The following is a 19,836-nucleotide window of genomic DNA, read 5'->3' as shown; positions in this document are numbered from 1 at the left end:
CTTTGTTCTGTGATCTTTGTCACGCCATCTCTTTTCAAAAGCTGTGTGCTATGTTTTGTTGTTATTGTTGTTGTTGTTGCTGTTGTTGTTTGAGACAGGGTCTCCCTCTACCACCCAGGCTGGAGTGTAGTGGTGCGATCTCAGCTCACTGCAACCTCTGCCTTGAGGGCTCAAGTGATCCTCCCACCTCAGCCTCCTGAGTAGGTGGGACTATAGGTGTATGCCACCATGCCCGGCTAATTTTTGTATTTTTTATTGTAGAGACAGGGTCTTACCATGTTGCCCAGGTTTGTCTCAAACTCCTGGGCTCAAGCAATCCTCCTGCTTCAGCCTCCCAAAGTGCTGGGATTATAGGCATGAGCCACTGTGGCTTGCAAAAGCTGTGATATTTACGGGTTGGGGGGAACATCAAGAAAGTAGAAGCTTGCTTGGCTTGCTGGATCTTGGGAGATTTTGTTGCCATCCTAAGTCTTGGGCCTCTCTCACCTGGAGCTACAGCAGACATTTCAGCCACACCTCACAATCCTGATTTCAGCTCTCCCCTCTGCCACCACATGACAACCAGGAGCTTCATTAGAAAGCCTTAGCCTGACATTGTAACCTTTGCCCTGCATTGGGCAATGCCTCCCCGGGAGCCTCCCACCCTCCACTGGCCTCTATTTGTGACATTCACCTTAATGTTTGAGTGCCAAGTTCCTCCCTCTTGGTGTCCCACATCAACAAATCAGATGAATACAAAAAAAATTACATAATTCCTATGAGCCAACCAGGGGGAAAGTGAAGACCAACCATCTAAGGAAATGGGGGGTGGATTATCTATCACCCCTGGTTCAAGTCAATTAAAGACATACAGACTGATCATGGATTCAAATATGGCCTGATCTAGAAGTGTGGGGAAAAAATGCCAACTCTATCAGCTTTGTCCTCAGAACCTGACACGAAAGCAGAGTTCACATCTACTGTCCCGATTCTGACGGAGGCCACCTGTGGTAGGCAGTTCCACTGGTTTGCGCTGCGCATGTATGAATATAGCCTCCAGATCTCCCCCAGCTTCCCACCCTATCCTTCATGCAGAGGTCACTATATGTTTGGATAGATGCCAGGGTGCCACGCGGCCATGTCTGCCAATGGGCAGGGGGACAACTATGAAAAGGCTCTGCACTTGGGGCCCTCAGGGGTACCACTGGCTCCATGAGCCTCCTATGGCAGGACAGGCTGATCCTGGTGTGCAAAGCCTGGTCATCTCACTTCCATTCCTATTCTGGGCCAAGCACTCCTGGGGCCTCAGTCTCCTGCCCCTGTGCCAGCCTATGGGTGGTAGGATTCTGAGGTCCATGCTGGGTTAGAGCAGTAGGTCTCAGCCAGGAGATATTGTCACAACTAGGGAGAAGGTGCTGCTGGTATCTAGTGGGTCAAGGTCAGGGATGCTACTAAACATGCTACAGTGCACAGGACAGCCCTCAGAACAGAGGTCTATCTAGTCCAAAATGTCAAAGAGAAAGCCTGGGTTATGGGAAGGGGTGTCCTCCAGAGAGCATGGCCTTAGATTTTCAGCCCCTCTAAGAATGAGATGTTCCTTGTTTATTTTCTCCATCTCTCATTGGCCTAGTTGTAGGGGAGGGAAGAGTTAGACCAGGGTAGGATCCAAGCACTCCTGATCCTCTGAGCCAAATATGGTTCTCCAGATAGCACAATTTCCTCTAAAAATGCAGTCCGAGATGGAATGGGTAAGAAACCTGCTTCCTTCCATCTTCTAGTACATTGGCTTTAAAAACTCATCGTAAAAATATGAAAAAGACATTTACTGTAGCACTGTTCATAACTGAAAAAGATAAAAAAAAAAAACAAAAAACCTAAATGTCCACTTAAAAGGACCGGATAAATAAATTATGATACATTCATGCAGTGGAATTATATGCAGTTGTTAAAAGAGTGAGGTAGCTCTAAATATAATGATATGAAACAATCTCCAAGACATATTATTAAGAATCCCATGGCCAGGCACAGTGACTCACACCTGTAATCCCAGCACTTTGGGAGGCCCAGGTAGGAGGAGGGCTTGAGCTGAGGAGTTTGAGACCAGCCTGGGCAACATAGTGAGACCATATCTGTACGAAAATAAAACAATTATCTGGGCATGGTGGTGCACACCCGTGGTCTCTGCTACTTGGGAGACTGAGGTGGGAGGATCACTTGGGTCCATGAGGTCCAGGCCGCAGTGAGCTATGACTGTGCCACTGCACTCCAGCCTGGGTGACAGAGCAAGACCCTGTCTTGAGAAAGAAAAAGGATACCAGCAAGATGCAGGAACAATATGCCTGGTGTACTAATACTTGTATGAAAATATTTTAAAATACTATGTAAACCTAGATGCTGAGTGTGAATTAGACACGCTCAGAAAAGACACTGGTTGTCTCTTGGGAGGGGAGCTGGGGCTGGGACGGGGAAGGGATAGAAGAGAGATTTACTATTCACTCTAGGTCCTTTGCAGAATCATCATTGTGGTATGTTTCATTGAATAGAAGTTTAAATACCTTACTGAAGTCAAATCTATCACCATTTTTCTTTTGAGCTTACACTTTTAATATTTTTTTCTTGAGACAGAGTCTCGCTTTGTTGCCCAGGCAGGAGTGCAGTGGCTCAATTATAGCTCAATGCAGCCTCAAACACCCAGCCTCCAGGGATCCTCCCACCTCAGCCTCTTGAGTAGCCAGGACTACAGGCATGCAGCAGCACACCCAGCTAATTTTGCACATATATATACACACACACACACACACACACACACACACACACATATATATATATATAGAGAGAGAGAGAGAGAAAGAGAGAGATGGGGTCTTGTTGTGTCACCCAGGCTGCTCTGGAACTCCTGGGCTCAAGCAATCCTCCTGCTTCAGCCTCCCAAAGTGCTGGGATTACAGGCGTGAACCACAACACCCAGCCACTTTCAGTATTTTATTTAAGAAATTACTTTCTACATGTTATGGACTGAATGTTTGCGTCCCCTCAAAATGTATATGTTGAAATCCTAGCCTCCAATATAATGGTGTTAGGAGGGGGGGCCCCTGGGAAGTAATTAGAAGGGAGGAGCTCGCATGATGGGATCAGTACCTTTATAAGGAGAGATTCAGGAGAGTTTCTTCCTGTCTTTCTTGCTCTCTGCCGTGTGAGGATACAAGAAGATGGCCCTCTGTGAACCAGCAGGTGGGCCCTCCCCAGGAACCAGCCATGCTGGCACCCTGATCTTGGACTTCTAGCCTCAAGAACTTGGAGAAATCAATGTTTGTTGTTGAAGCCACCCAGTCCATGGCATTTTGTTAGAGCAGCCCCAACTAAGACACTGCTCCAATCATAAGGATATCCCCCTACGATTCCTTGTAATTGCTTTCAAAGTTTTGCTTTTCACAGCTAGATCTTTAATCAACCTGGATTTTATTTTTGGTATGATGTGAACTAGGGATCTAGTTGTATTTACTTTCCATATGGAAAATCAATTGTGCCAACACCATTTGTAGAATATTCCATCCTTTCCCCAACAATCTACAATGCAACTTCTGTCTCATTCCAAGTTTCCATGTGTCATGGGTCTTTTGCTGGGTTCCTGTTCTCTTCCAGTGGTCGATTTGTAAATCCCCTTGACAACACATCACTGTCCTAATTCCTATGACATTATAGTATGCACACAAATCTTAAACGTTCCATTACCCACCGACCTCTATGTTACTCTCATTCTTTAAAAATATTTTCACTTGTGGCTGGGCATGGTGGCTCTCACCTGTAATCCTAGCACTTTGAGAGGCCAAGGTGGGCGGATCAAGAGGTCAGGAGATCGAGACCATCCTGGCTAACACGGTGAAACCCCATCTCTACTAAAAATACAAAAAATTAGCTGGGCATGGTGGCGGGCACATGTAGTCCCAGCTACTCGGGAGGCTGAGGCAGGAGAATGGCATGAACCTGGGAGGCGGAGCTTGCAGCGAGCCGAGATCGCACCACTGCACTCCAGCCTGGGCGACAGAGTGAGCCTCCATCTCAAAAAAAAAAAAAAAAAAAAAAAAATATATATATATATATATTCACTTGTGTTCCACTAGAAGCAGAGCCTGAGTCAAGGATTTGGGTGCAAGCATTTTTTTAGAAGGTGATTCCAGGAAGCCCAGGTAAGAGGGTGGGAAGTGAAATAGGTAAGGGAAGAAAGCTAACAGACAGTGCATTAACGAGCAGGTTGCCACAAAGGGTAACTGGGGTTCAATCTCACTGGGCCCTTCAAAGTTATTCCAACTGAGGGGTGGGGAAGCTGCAATATTTATCCACCAACTCTCATTCCTCATGGCTGTTTTAAAATGCACTGAACATTTATTTTAATCAGATATGGTAAGACACACAGACATGGACATGACTGTCCTGAAGGAAAGAGTTTTTTTATACTCAAAGTTTCCTAGAAACAAGAGCCACGGCATGCTATGCAGGGATACATAGGGAGGCACCAGGGTTGGTCAAGAAGTCAAAGGAGTGAGGGGAAAACATGGGCAAGAGCTTTATTTGTGGCATCCAAGGGAAAGGCAAGGTAAGCAGGCACAGGATTAGCTATTAATAGTTTGAATAATTTCATTCCGCTCTGGGGCCTAGGGCTCTCCCCAGTTGTCTGGCTCATGGCCCTGGGATGATGAGGGCAGAGGGACAGTGGCCCAGTGTAAGAGCCCGATGAAGGAAGTGGTTGGGTCTACGGGCTTTGGATTGGCTGGTTTGCATATGGGAGGTGCACTTGCAGGTGAGTCCTTTACTATCTCTAGGAACTGGCTAGCCCTGGGAGGAGCATTCTCTCCAGGATCAGCAAGGCTCCAGCTGTCAAAACATCAGGAAATACAGGAAATGAAAAGGAATGATGAATACATTGAGTGTGCTCTTGAAGGCATGTATGTGGCTGGCAATGCTGAGGGCTATGGGGAGGGCACCAATGGTGTCTGCTACACTATTCTTGGCCCCTCAATGACTACATGAATTTTAGGATCAGCCTGTCAAATTCCACAAAAACTTCTATTGGGATTTGTGTGGGAATTGCTTGAATTTATAGATTAATTCAGTGAGAAGTAATATGTTTATAACATTGAGTCCTACTATTCATAATATATACAGTATATATTTCAATTTAGTCAGTTCTTCCTTTAAGTCCCTGGGTAGTTTTTATATTTGTCTTAGTCCCTTTGTAGTGCTATGACAAAACACCTGAGACTAGGTAATTTACAAACAACTGAAGTTTATTTTCTCAGTTCTGGAAGTTGGGAAGAACAAGATCAACGCTCCAGCAGGTACAGTGTCTAGTGAGGGCCTGGTCTCTGCTTCCAAGATGGTACCTTGAATGCTGGTTCCTCTGGAGCAGACAATGCTATGGTCTCATGTGGCAGAAGGCAGATTTACCACCATCCCTAAGCCCTTTTATAAGGCACTAATCTCATGCATGAGGGCTTGCCCTTATGACTTAATCACTTTTTAAAGGCCCCACTTCTTCATACTATCACCTTGGCAATTAAGTTTTAACACATGAATTTTGGGAGACACATTCAGGCTATAGCAATACTCTTCATGAAAGGTCTTGTGTATATTTTGCTAGATATATTCTCAGGATTTTGTTGCTATTGTGAATAGAATCTCTTTTTCTATTACATTTTCTTAATTTGTTATTACTGATGTATAGGAATGCTAATCTTTTTTTAAGTTGATCTTGAATTCAACAACCTTGCTAACTCTCTTACTAGTCTTAATAATTTATCTGTATATTCTTCTGGATTTTCATCATAGGCAATTATATGGTCTGCAAGTACAGGAATTTTTCTTTCCAATTTAAAATTATTTCCTTCGTTTTTTTTTTTTAAGATGGAGCCTCACTCTGTCGCCTAGGCTGGAGTGCAGTGGCACGATCTTGGCTCACTGTAACCTCCACCTCCCAGGTTCAAGAGATTTTCCTGCCTCAGCCTCCTGAATAGCTTGGATTACAGGCACCCACCACCATGCCCAGGTAATTTTTGTATTTTTTTTTTAGTAGAGATGGAGTTTCACTATGTTGGCCAGGCTGGTCTTGAACTCCTGACTTCAAGTGATCCTCCTGCCTTGGCCTCACAAAGTGCTGGGATTACAGGCATGAGCCACTGCACCTGACCTTTATTTACTTTATATATCTCACCTATTACTGCTGCAGTTTGCAGAAGAGAGGATGCCCTCAAACCTAACTTCTCCAAACCATCCCAAAGGGGAAGTCTGCTCCACATCAACAATGTTATTGTTTTTAAAGACCATAAGTCAACATGTTAGATTATAGCAAAATGATGTCCAAGGGGCAATATGAAAGCAAGACTGAGAGTCCTGGAAAGAAGGTGGCAGAGCTGCCTTTTTAAAATTGTCATCCCCTCAGACCCTACCCTTCCTGCCTTCTTCCTCCAGTTGTCAGATTTGCCTGTTGGGGTCCACATGGGGAAGGAGATAGGGGGCTGGACTGAGAGGGAGATGGAGAAGCTGCCAGAGGCCCTTTTGGATCCAGAATTAAGGCAGCAGTTCCAGCTAGGTCCAGAGGTGGGGGCTGCCCCCCAACGCCCAAGGGAATGGCACTGATTCCAAAACGTGGCAAGAACTCTCTGGCTGGGAGAGGGATGTGCTTGCTCCCTTGAATCACCTGAGACCAGGCTGGAAGGCCCAAGGGGGAGCACAGGCCAGCCCACTCCAGCCCCATCCCCTCCCTTTAACCCTAAGCTATTCACTCTCCCAGATTCCACTCCCTTTTCCTAAGTGACCTCCCTGCAAAGTCTGCAGAGAGCAGCACTCCTTTGTGCCAGCTCACCCCGCACTGTCCTGTCTTTCAGCAACCCCCATGGGTATGAACTTGAGATGATTCATTTTCCTAAAAGCCTCTTTCGGGTGAGGGAAGGCGTGGGTGGCTCTGCAAGGTTTGGAGTGGGGGCTGCCTCTTCTCAGAGCCACTGGGAGAGCCAGTGTCACCCTCCATGGTGGGTGTCTGCAGGCTGGGGAGCAGCCATGGATGACACCATCTTTGCAGGCAGCCCAGGTCATCCCCAGTGGTCTGGGAGACTGGGGGTGAACCAACTCCCACTCCCAACAGGGCCGAGACTCCTTCCTCACCTAAGAGGTGACTTTCTTGAAGAGTGGGGACAGAGGAGCCGGCAACCTGTGCGGCGTAGGCACCTGGGAACAAATCTGCGGCTCAGTCTCAGAGAGAAGTCTCCTCCAACACAGCTATTGCAGAAATGGGGAAACTGGGCCTAGAGGGAAGGGGGCTTGCCCAAATCACCAGCCCTGGAATGTTTTGCGCTTTCAGGGTGGATCTCCCAAGAAATGCATTTTATGGCACTGATGCCTCTGGTCACCCACCTCGAGGTGTGGTGGGCCTGGACAGTCACCTTGACTGAGGGCCAGGCTGATGAAGTCAAACCTACCACTCAGGAAGGAGACCCAGCCCTTCTCCAGGCAGAGTTCAAATGTGAAGACTGCCTTCTTTGGGCCTCAGTTTCCCCACCTGAATTGCAAGGGCCCTTCTAGCTCCTACAGTCTGGGCCAGGCTTTTCCTCTGAGCCCCAGTCAGCCTGGAGGACCAGGGCTACATCTTCCTTGGACAGAGACCCACCATAGGGGTGGCAGGACATAGGGGTGGGGGTAGGCAAGGTTCCTGTAGGGAGGTGAAGCTGTCATCAGGGATGGTGTCTGCAGGCAGTGGGTGTATCATGTCTCTGCTACTACTTGCTGGGTGATTTCCCCATTCTGGACCTCAGTTTCCCCATCTGTTTTACGGAGATAATATGCCTGCCTACATATCTGGGGACTTGGATGTGTGTGTGGGCTAGTTGCAGTGTTTCTTAGGTGTGGTCCTGGGGCAGCCTGCACCACCCCATAGAGATTTCTGGGCCCCATCCTAGGCTCACAGGATCAGAATCTCTGGGAATTTGCATTTACACAGGCATCCGGGTGATTCAGACACATGATTGAAGAAGCACTAATAGTATATTGTAAGCTCTTTATAAAAGGTAAATTCATAGCTGCCTTTTAATAAACATAAATTTCATCTTCCCTTCCTCAGTTAAGGACACACAACCCAGTTGAAAATCACTCTGCCTTTCCAGATGTGGAATCTTATCTTTCCACTAAGATTCTGTTAACTGTTACTTTCTGTAGTTTGTATTCCAAAACAATGGGTATATCTTTCCATTTTTTCATATAAATGTTTAGGTTGGATGTGCTTTTTCAAATGGGACACACACTCACACCGTTTAGAATTCCAGCTATGGCTTCTGTCAGGCCTCTGAGCCCAAGCCAAGCCATCGCATCCCCTGTGACTTGCACATATACACCCAGATGGCCTGAAGTAACTGAAGATCCACAAAAGAAGTAAAAATAGCCTTAACTGATGACATTCCACCATTGTGATTTGTTCCTGCCCCACCCTAACTGATCAATGTACTTTGTAATCTCCCCCACCCTTAAGAAGGTTCTCTGTAATTCTCCTCACCCTTGAGAATGTACTTTGTGAGATCCACCCCTGCCCGCAAAACATTGCTCTTAACTTCACCGCCTAACCCAAAACCTATAAGAACTAATGATAATCCATCTCCCTTCACTGACTCTCTTTTCGGACTCAGCCCACCTGCACCCAGGTGAAATAAACAGCTATGTTGCTCACACAAAGCCTGTTTGGTGGTCTCTTCACAAGGACGCACATGAAATTTGGTGCCGTGACTCGGACCAGGACCGCACCCTGTAGCCTTTCTGTCCAAACAACTTGACCTTACTGTTTTAGCCTAACCCTCATGTCTGCATGCAGTGGCTGCCACTGCTTTAATACTTTTAGAGGCCCTAAAAATCACAAACTATGCTCAACTCACTCTCTACATTTCTCATAACTTCCAAAATCTATTTTCTTCCTCATACCTGACGCATATACTTTCTGCTCCCCGGCTCCTTCAGCTGTACTCACTCTTTGTTAAGTCCCACAATTACTATTGTTCCTGGCCCGGACTTCAATCTGGCCTCCCACATTATTCCTGATACCACACCTGACCCCCATGACTGTATCTCTCTGATCCACCTGATATTCACCCCATTTCCCCATATTTCCTTCTCTCCGTGTCTCTACCCCTTCTCTGCTTTTCTGGGGGAGGGGCAAGTACCCCTCAATCCCTTCTCCTTCACCCTTAGTGGCAAGTCCTGCTTTTCTGGGGAAGGGGCAAGTACCCCAACCCCTTCTCTCCTTGTCTCTACCCCTTCTCTGCTTTTCTGGGGAAGGGGCAAGTACCCCAACCCCTTCTCTCCATGTCTATACCCCTTCTCTGATTTTCTGGGGCAGGGGAAAGAACCCCTCAACCCCTTCTCCTTCACCCTTAGTGGCAAGTCCCGCTTTTCTGGGGAAGAGGCAAGTACCCCAACCCCTTCTCTCCTTGTCTCTACCCCTTCTCTGATTTTCTGGGGCAGGGGCAAGAACCCCTCAACTCCTTCTCCTTCACCCTCAGCGGCAAGTCCCACTTTTCTGGGGGAGGGGCAAGTACTCCAACCCCTTCTCTCTGTGTCTCTATCCCTTCTCTGCTTTTCTGGGGGAGAGGCAAGTACCCCAACCTCGTATCTCTGCACCCCGATCCCTTATTTCTGCACCCTGACCTCGTATCTCTGCACCCCAACCCCTTCTCTGCTTTTCTGGAGGGCAAGAAACCCCCACCCCTTCTCCGTGTCTCTACTCTTTTCTCTGGGCTTGCCTCCTTCACGATGGGTAAGCTTCCACCTTCCATTCCTCTTTCTTCTCCCTTAGCCTGTGTTCTTAAGAACTTAAAACCTCTTCAACTTTCACCTGACCTAAAACCTAAATGCCTTATTTTCTTCTGCAATGCCGCTTGACCCCAATACAAACTCGACAGTAGTCCCAAATAGCCAGAAAACTGCACTTTGAATTTTTCCATCCTGCAAGATCTAAATAATTCTTCTCGTAAAATAGGCAAACGGTCTGAGGTGCCTGAAGTCCAGGCATTCTTTTACACATCAGTCCCTCTCTAGTCTCTGTTCCAATGCAACTCATCCCAAATCTTCCTTCTTTCCCTCCTGCCTGTCCCCTCAGTCCCAACCCCAAGCGTCGCTGAGTCTTTCTAATCTTCCTTTTCTACAGACTCTTCTGACCTCTCCCCTCCTCGCCAGGCCGAGCTAGGTCCCAATTCTTCCTCAGCCTCCGCTCCTCCACCCTATAATCCTTTTATCACCTCCCCTCCTCACACCCAGTCTGGTTTACAGTTTCGTTCCGTGACTAGCCCTCCCCCACCTGCCCAGCAATTTACTCTTAAAAAGGTGGCTGGAGCTAAAGCCATAGTCAAGGTTAATGCTCCTTTTTCTTTATCCCAAATCAGATAGTGTTTAGGCTCTTTTTCATCAAACATAAAAAACCCAGCCCAGTTCATGGCTCATTCAGCAGCAACCCTGAGACGCTTTACAGCCCTAGACCCTAAAAGGTCAAAAGGCCGTCTTATTCTCAATATACATTTTATTACCCAATCTGCTCCCGACATTAAATAAACTCCAAAAATTAAATTCCGGCCCTCAAACCCCACAACAGGATTTAATTAACCTCGCCTTCAAGGTGTACAATAATAGAAAAAAGTTGCAATTCCTTGCCTCCACTGTGAGACAAACCCCAGCCACATCTCCAGCACACAAGAACTTCCAAATGCCTGAACTGCAGCAGCCAGGCGTTCCTCCAGAACCTCCTCCCCCAGGAGCTTGCTACACATGCCGGAAATCTGGCCACTGGGCCAAGGAATGCCCGCAGCCTGGGATTCCTCCTAAGCCGCGTCCCATCTGTGCAGGACCCCACTGAAAATTGGACTGTTCAACTCACCTGGCAGCCACTCCCACAGCCCCTGGAACTCTGGCCCAAGGCTCTCTGACTCCTTCCCAGATCTTCTCGGCTTAGCGGCTGAAGACTGACGCTGCCCAATCACCTCGGAAGCCCCCTAGACCATCACAGGTGCCGAGCTTCCAGTAACTCACAGTGGAAGGTAAGTCCATCCCCTTCTTAATCAATATGGAAGCTACCCACTCCACATTACCTTCTTTTCAAGGGCCTGTTTCCCTTGCTTCCATAACTGTTGTGGGTATTGACGGCCAGGCTTCTAAACCTCTTAAAACTCCCCAACTCTGGTGCCAGCTGAGACAATACTCTTTTAAGCACTCCTTTTAGTTATCCCCACCTGCCCAGTTCCCTTATTAGGCCGAGACACTTTAACTAAATTATCTGCTTCCCTGACTATTCCGGGATTACAGCTACATCTCATTGCCACCTTTCTTCCCAATCCAAAGCCTTCTTTGCGTCCTCCTCTTGTATTCCCCGACCTTAACCCACAACTATAAGATACCCCTACTCCCTCCTTGGTGACCGATCATGCACCCCTTACCATCTCTTTAAAACCTAATCACCCTTACCCCACTCAATGCCAATATCCCATCCCACAGCACACTTTAAAAGGATTAAAGCCTGTTATCACTCGCCTGCTACAGCATAGGCTTCTAAAACCTATAAACTCTCCTTACAATTCCCCAATTTTACCTGTCCAAAAACAGAACAAGTCTTACAGATTAGTTCAGGATCTGCGCCTTATCAACCAAATTGTTTTGCCTATCCACCCCGTGGTGCCAAACCCATATACTCTCCTATCCTCAATACCTCCCTCTACTACCCATTATTCTGTTCTAGATCTCAAACATGCTTTCTTTTTTTTTGAAACTTTTTATTTTTTTTGGAAACTTTTTACTTTGATATGATTTATTTATTTATTTATTTTTTTTTTTTTATTGATCATTCTTGGGTGTTTCTCGCAGAGGGGGATTTGGCAGGGCCACAGGACAATAGTGGAGGGAAGGTCAGCAGATAAACAAGTGAACAAAGGTCTCTGGTTTTCCTAGGCAGAGGACCCTGCGGCCTTCCGCAGTGTTTGTGTCCCTGGGTACTTGAGATTAGGGAGTGGTGATGACTCTTAACGAGCATGCTGCCTTCAAGCGTCTGTTTAACAAAGCACATCTTGCACCGCCCTTAATCCATTTAACCCTGAGTGGACATAGCACATGTTTCAGAGAGCACAGGGTTGGGGGTAAGGTCACCGATCAACAGGATCCCAAGGCAGAAGAATTTTTCTTAGTACAGAACAAAATGAAAAGTCTCCCATGTCTACCTCTTTCTACACAGACACAGCAACCATCCGATTTCTCAATCTTTTCCCCACCTTTCCCCCCTTTCTATTCCACAAAACCGCCATTGTCATCCCGGCCCGTTCTCAATGAGCTGTTGGGTACACCTCCCAGACGGGGTGGTGGCCGGGCAGAGGGGCTCCTCACTTCCCAGTAGGGGCGGCCGGGCAGAGGCACCCCTCACCTCCCGGACGGGGCGACTGGCCGGGCGGGGGGCTGACCCCCCCATCTCCCTCCCGGACGGGGCGGCTGGCCAGGCAGAGGGGCTCACTTCCCAGTAGGGGTGGCCGGGCAGAGGCGCCCCTCACCTCCCGGAGGGGGCGGCTGGCCGGGCGGGGGGCTGATCCCCCCACCTCCCTCCCGGACGGGGCGGCTGGCCGGGCGGGGGGCTGACCCCCCCACCTCCCTCCTGGACGGGGTGGCTGCCGGGCGGAGACGCTCCTCACTTCCCAGACGGGGTGGCTGCCGGGCGGAGGGGCTCCTCACTTCTCAGACGGGGCGGCTGCTGGGCGGAGGGGCTCCTCACTTCTCAGACAGGGCGGTTGCCAGGCAGAGGGTCTCCTCACTTCTCAGACGGGGCGGCCGGGCAGAGACGCTCCTCACATCCCGGACGGGGCGACAGGGCAGAGGCGCTCCCCACATCTCAGATGATGGGTGGCCGGGCAGAGACGCTCCTCACTTCCTAGATGGGATGGCGGCCTGGCAGAGACGCTCCTCACTTTCCAGACTGGGCAGCCAGGCAGAGGGGCTCCTCACATCCCAGACGATGGGCGGCCAGGCAGAGATGCTCCTCACTTCCCAGACGGGGTGGCGGCCGGGCAGAGGCTGCAATCTCGGCACTTTGGGAGGCCAAGGCAGGCTGCTGGGAGGTGGATGTTGTAGCGAGCCGAGATCATGCCACTGCACTCCAGCCTGGGCACCATTGAGCACTGAGTGAAGGAGACTCCGTCTGCAATCCCGGCACCTCGGGAGGCCGAGGCTGGCGGATCACTCGCGGTCAGGAGCTGGAGACCAGCCCGGCCAACACAACGAAACCCCGTCTCCACCCAAAAAATACGAAAACCAGTCAGGCGTGGCGGCGCGCGCCTGCAATTGCAGGCACTCAGCAGGCTGAGGCAGGAGAATCAGGCAGGGAGGTTGCAGTGAGCCGAGATGGCAGCAGTACAGTCCAGCTTCGGCTCTGCATCAGAGGGAGACCGTGGAAAGAGGGGAGGGGGAGGGGGAGAGGGAGAGGGAGAGGGAGAGGGAGAGGGAGAGGGAGAGGGCATGCTTTCTTTACTATTCCTTTGCACCCTTCATCCCAGCCTCTCTTTGCTTTCACTTGGACTAACCCTGACACCCATCAGTCCCAGCAGCTTACCTGGGCTGTACTGCCGCAAGGTTTCAGGGACAGCCCTCATTACTTCAGCCAAGCTCTGTCTCATGATTTAGTTTCTTTCCACCCCTCCGCTTCTCACCTTATTCAGTATATTGATGACCTTCTTCTTTGTAGCCCCTCCTTTGAATCTTCTCAACAAGACACACTTCTGCTCCTTCAGCATTTATTCTCCAAAGGATAGCGGGTATTCCCCTCCAAAGCTCAAATTTTTTCCCCATCCATTACCTACCTCGGCATAATTCTTCATAAAAACACATGTGCTCTCCCTTCTGATCATGTCCGATTAATCTCCCAAACCTCAATCCCTTACAAAACAACAACTCCTTTTCTTCCTAGGCATGGTTAGTGTGGTCAGAATTCTTACACAAGAGCCAGGACCACACCCTGTAGCCTTTCTGTCCAAACAACTTGACCTTACTGTTTTAGCCTAGCCATCATGTCTCCGTGCAGCGGCTGCCACTGCTTTAATACTTTTAGAGGCCCTAAAAATCACGAACTGTGCTCAACTCACTCTCTGCATTTCTCATAACTTCTGAAATCTACTTTCTTCCTCATACCTGATGCATATACTTTCTGCTCCCTGGCTCCTTCAGCTGTACTCACTCTTTGTTAAGTCCCACAATTACCATTGTTCCTGGCCCGGACTTCAATCTGGCCTCCCACATTATTCCTGATACCACACCTGACCCCCATGACTGTATCTCTCTGATCCACCTGATATTCACCCGATTTCCCCATATTTCCTTCTTTTCTGTTCCTCACCCTGATCACGCTTGATTTATTGATGGCAGTTCCACCAGGCCTAATCGCCACACACCAGCAAAGGCAGGCTATGCTATAGTACAAGCCACTAGCCCGCCTCTTAGAACCTCTCATTTCCTTTCCATCGTGGAAATCTATCCTCAAGGAAATAACTTCTCAGTGTTCCATCTGCTATTCTACTACTCCTCAGGGATTATTCAGGCCCCCTCCCTTCCCTACACATCAAGCTTGAAGATTTGCCCCCACCCAGGACTGGCAAATTAGCTTTACTCAACATGCCCTGAATCAGGAAACTAAAATACCTCTTAGTCTAACTAGACACTTTCACTGAATAAGTAAAGACCTGTCCTACAGGGTCTGAGAAGGCCACCGCAGTCATTTCTTCTCTTCTGTCAGACATAATTCCTCAGTTTAGCCTTCCCACCTCTATACAGTCTGATAAAAGACCAGCCTTTATTAGTCAAATCAGCCAAGCAGTTTTTCAGGCTCTTAGTACTCAGTGAAACCTTTATATCCCTTACGGTCCTCAGTCTTCAAGAAAAGTAGAACAGACTAAAGGTCTTTTAAAAACACACCTCACCAAGCTCAGCCACCAACTTAAAAAGGACTGGATAATACTTTTACCACTTTCCCTTCTCAGAAGTCAGACCTGTCCTCAGAATGCTACAAGGTGCAGCCCATTTGAGCTCCTGTATAGACGCTCCTTTTTATTAGGCCCCAGTCTCATTCGACACCAGACCAACTTAGACTGTGACCCCAAAAAACTTGTCATCCCTACTATCTTCTCTCTAGTCATACTCCTATTCACCGTTCTCAACTACTCATACATGCCCTGCTCTTGTTTACACTGCTGGTTTACACTGTTTCTCCAAGCCATCACAGCTGATATCTCCTGGTGCTATCCCCAAACTGCCACTCTAAACTCTGGAAGTAAATAAATAATCTTTGCTGGCAGGACTATGCTGAATCTCCTTAGGCACTCTCTAATCAGATGTCCTAGGTCCTCCCAATTCTTAGACCTTTTATACCTGTTTTTCTCCTTCTCTTATTCCATTTAGTTTCTGAATTCATCCAAAACCGTATCCAGGCCATCACCAATAATTCTATATGACAAATGTTTCTTCTAACATCCCCACAATATCACCCCTTACCACAAGATCTCCCTTCAGCTTAATCTCTCCCACTCTAGGCTCCCACGCCACCCCTAATCCCGCTTGAAGCAGCCCTGAGAAACATCACCCATTCTCTCTCCATACCACCCCCCAAAAATTTTCACCGCCCTAACACTTCAACACTATTTTGTTTTATTTTTCTTATTAATATAAGAAGGCAGGAATGTCAGGCCTCTGAGCCCAAGCCAAGCCATCGCATCCCCTGTGACTTGCACATATACAACCAGATGGCCTGAAGTAACTGAAGATCCACAAAAGAAGTAAAAATAGCCTTAACTGATGACATTCCACCATTGTGATTTGTTCCTGCCCCACCCTAACTGATCAATGTACTTTGTAATCTCCCCCACCCTTAAGAAGGTTCTCTGTAATTCTCCTCACCCTTGAGAATGTACTTTGTGAGATCCACCCCTGCCCGCAAAACATTGCTCTTAACTTCACTGCCTATCCCAAAACCTATAAGAACTAATGATAATCCATCTCCCTTCACTGACTCTCTTTTCGGACTCAGCCCACCTGCACCCAGGTGAAATAAACAGCCATGTTGCTCACACAAAGCCTGTTTGGTGGTCTCTTCACAAGGACGTGCATGAAAGCTTCCTCTCAAATTATTAGCCCTTTTCTGCCAGGGAGTAGTTTTTCCCAAGGAGGTCTGGAAGACAAGACCCTGGATAGAGGCTGGTGGTACCCCGCCCCGCTCATCAGAATCGCTGGATCATGACTGACCCCTAGTGGCGGCTTCTCTGCTTAACTGTCAGCCCATGGACTGGGGTGTGACCCCCAATGCTGCTGCAGAAGCTTTCACCCGTCCTGGGCCACCCCTGCCATCTGTGGAGAAAGGCCTGTCCCTTGTCTTCTGAGCCCAGCTGGCCTCACAGGCATTCAGCAGATTGGAAAGTCTAATCATGTGCTGCGCTGGGCTCCCCCACGCCCCTTTTTGGAGTGAGGCAGAGTGCATTCCAGCCCCCAGCATCCCTGCTGTTTATTCCCATCCCTCACCCCCACCCCCATACACACTCACAAGTACAAACACGGGCGCAGTCACGGGCACACACCGCCACGGAGAGCATTTCCATTTCCAGCCTCGGCAGAGCAGTCTCCTTATAGGGAAGTTAACGAGGCAGTAAAGGCTCAGGGGTCAGGGAGGCCCTCTGTCGGGAGGAGGCTGCTAGACCCAGTTCTGCCTCTGACTTGCTGGGGGTCCTTGAGAAAGTTGCTTCTCCTCTTTGGTTTCAGTTTCCCCAGCTGAGAAATGGAGGGTTTGGCCAAATGGTCTAAGGTTCTGGGAACCTCTAACTTAGAGCCCGTAACTGGTGGTCAAGATGAGGGAGAGTCCCTCGGGGTCAGCTGAATGCCTGAGAGGCAGGACAGGCCCAAAGGTGAGCAACTTGAGCACACCAGGTGGGCTCCGAGCTGGAGGTGAGCCCCACAGCCTGCAGAGCAGCCCTGGACTCGTGAGCCCCATCGCACCAGTCCGGTGGGACTTCAGAGATGTGGAATCCAGCCTCCTCTAGTATTGCAGAGCTGGGGGATGGGAGCTGCGGATTCTGACACCACAGCTGCCTTATATATGCCAGATGGGCTGGGGCAAGACACACCCCTTTCTATGAAATGAGCAGTCAGTCCAAATAGATGAGCTAAAGAAAGGCTGTGGGAGGGACCCAGCTCTAGCCTGAGGCTACAGACTGGCTTCCAGGGTACTCAAGCAGCTGCCTCTGGGGGAGGGGTCCCAGGTATGAGAGGCAGGGCTCAGAATCTAGGCCAAGCCTCCACAGGACCCCCCTCTGGAGAGCTCGGAGCAGTCTTGGGGGGAGGGTCAGCAGGCAGCAAGTGCACTAGGAGCATCTTTCACAAGGCACCCAATATTGCATCTGCTCCAATAGGCAGCGAGTTGGAAAGTGGATGGAATAGGCAGGGTGGCAGCTGCTCCCCAGGGCCAGGAGTCCAGCCCAGCTCCCACCCAAGTCCACCTCAGGCCTGCTCAATTGGGTTGATCAATGCTCTGGGCCCTCTGGCCCCACCCTCAGAGGGAGGGGTTTGGGGCAACCAGGTGAACTGGCCCTTGCGGGAGGCAGGCAGCCCCTCACCAGGATCCCCACCCCCACCTCTCCAGCCCCCCTCATTCCCTGATCCTTCCACCTGCTCTCCTGCCCCAGTAGTTTCCTCTGCTCACTCTCATCCCTTTTCCTGCTCCCAGGCTCACCTGCTCAGATGTCCTTGACTCTCCTCTGAGTCTCCCTCTTTCCAAGCCGCCTCCCCTCTACCTAACACAGTCTCCCTGAAGACACCACAGTACAAAAGCTCAACTTCCCGCACCTCACCTTTACTCCCAGACATGGGAGAGAGATGACATGAAGACCCGAACGCCACTTGGCAAAAGATCTGGGGTGTGCAGGGGGCAGATCTGAGGCTGTGGAAGCTCCAGGGGCTCCCTGCAGAAGGCTGCATTTAAGCTGGGTTTTGAATGTGGCTCTGAGCTGAGACCTCTCCTTGAAGCTCCAGACCAGGAGCCAGCTGCCAGCTGGACCACTTCATTTGGTGTCTCAGAGGAACCTTGCACTCCATAGGTCTAACTCTGAACCCAGAAAATGCCCCCATCTCAGCCCTGTTTCTTCTCAGGGAAAGCACTACCTCATACCCAGTTCTGCACCAAACCCAAACTATGAGCGCTCTGGATAAGCCAGTGCCAAGAGGGAACGAGCTCTGAATGCCAAGCCAAAACATGTGAGTTTTAACTCCACCTCCAGCTCCGAGAGTTGTGGGTAGGGAAGGGCCTTAGTCCATTTTGCTGTAGAAAGACCAGTCTGGCACTGTATTGTACATGGATGACAGGGGAAGAGTGAGGGTGGAGAGACCAGAAGGACGGCAGGACTGGGGAGGTAGGGACATGGCTGTAGCGGTGGAGATGGGGGAACAGACAGGACTTGGTGGTTACTTGGATGAACCAAGGGAGGGATCAGGAAGAGACACCCCGTTTTGTACCAGATGTCTAGAGTGTGGGATGCCATTTATTGCTCGAGGGAAGAGGAGGAGGAAGAGGTATGGCATGGGAGGAGATAGCTGAGCTCTCTCTTGAATGTCACTTGAAGTCCCCAAGGAGAGACAGGCCTGCCAGCACCTTCATGAACTGCTTCAGCCAGCCCTTGGGGCACCTGTGGTCCCTGGCCATCTCGACTCTCCCCTTTGTGCCTGTCAGCTGCCATGGGGGTCAGTTGCACAAGGGCCCAGCAGGTCTGTGTGTTTTCCCAAGGGACTGCCGCATGGCCAATGCTGAGGAGAAGCTGATGGACGACCTTCCCTTCTGAACAAAACCCGTTACAACTACCTGATCTGCCCAGCCACCAGCAGAGGCCCTCACAGCTCATCTCCATTGAGATGGAGCTCTCCCTGGCCTAGCGTGTCAGCATGGTAGGTGCAGAGGGTAGCTGTGGCTCAGGCTCAGGCGAAGAGGCAGCTCATGGCCACACCCCAAGCGATCATTGGCCAGAGGAATGAAATTACTAGGGTTGACTTAGATTTACCATTACATGGCAGGGAGGCTGCAGAAGAGTCCATGAAGTTCATAGGTGTCCAACATTTAATGAAGTCAAGGTTTTGTCTACAAAGAAGAAATAAGGGTGGGAGCGGGATGACCACTGGGTAGGCAGCCAATGGGGCTGCTCAGCTGAGTCTCCAGCACGACCATAAGCTTCTCCTCATCCTCACAGCCCCACCTTATTATCTCCCTCAACCCTGCTCAACAGATGACCTTACATGCTGCCTACTTGTTGGGGGAAATAAGAACCAGACTGGGGGAATTGACGGGTACAGAGGCCCAGGTGTAGGGGCAGGACCAGAGGCAGTGCAGCGCCTACTGAGCCAGGCGGGTGAGGGTCTGGACAGTGCGCGTGGCTGCTGCAGGCATGGAAAGGAGGCGCAGATGGAGGCACTCCCAGGGGCCATTGTCAGGCTCTCCATATGTGGACGCGTGCAGAGGTGGGGGTGCTGAGGAGGGAGGAGGTGCAGGGAATTTCTCTTCTCCTCTCTACTGCCTCTGAGTTGGAGATTTCAGATGAAACCATGGCCCATTGTAAATGAACACAATGTCCCCACTCACAGGGTTAGAACCCCACCCTTGGAAGCAGCTCTGAGGGGAGCATTCACATGGGGAGAGTGCAGGAAGCTGTGTCCAGCAGGGGAAGGAGATCACCAAGGGGGCTGACCCTCCCCTGGTGAGGTGGCTGCCTTCTGACACACCAGATGCTCTCTTTAGCATGGTTGGCCCCCACACACCAAGCCTGTCAAATTTACAGCCTT

The 19,836-nt window shown here is 49.7% G+C and overlaps 4 annotated features.

Annotated features, from left to right (window-relative positions):
* Positions 11,693-12,354: an enhancer, noted in NCBI's record as "NANOG-H3K27ac hESC enhancer chr2:71388687-71389348 (GRCh37/hg19 assembly coordinates)". NCBI's record gives its function as "activates a minimal SCP1, AML or CMV promoter by ChIP-STARR-seq in naive and primed H9 embryonic stem cells {active_cell/tissue: H9 hESC(naive and primed)}" and the evidence as "EXISTENCE:reporter gene assay evidence [ECO:0000049][PMID:30033119]".
* Positions 16,166-16,327: a silencer, noted in NCBI's record as "fragment chr2:71384714-71384875 (GRCh37/hg19 assembly coordinates)". NCBI's record gives its function as "represses an EF-1alpha promoter that drives an FKBP-Casp9 reporter gene in an ReSE screen in K562 erythroleukemia cells {active_cell/tissue: K562}" and the evidence as "EXISTENCE:reporter gene assay evidence [ECO:0000049][PMID:32094911]".
* Positions 16,166-16,389: a biological region, named in NCBI's record as "ReSE screen-validated silencer GRCh37_chr2:71384714-71384875".
* Positions 16,250-16,389: a silencer, noted in NCBI's record as "silent region_11621". NCBI's record gives its function as "represses an Ori minimal core promoter by ATAC-STARR-seq in GM12878 lymphoblastoid cells {active_cell/tissue: GM12878}" and the evidence as "EXISTENCE:reporter gene assay evidence [ECO:0000049][PMID:35858748]".

The sequence above is a fragment of the Homo sapiens genome, chromosome 2 (genome assembly GCF_000001405.40).
Source record: "Homo sapiens chromosome 2, GRCh38.p14 Primary Assembly".
NCBI classification, from domain to species: Eukaryota; Metazoa; Chordata; class Mammalia; order Primates; family Hominidae; genus Homo; species Homo sapiens.
The sequence above is the reverse complement of the archived record's forward strand: the minus strand, read 5'-3'. Positions and strand labels throughout refer to the sequence as shown.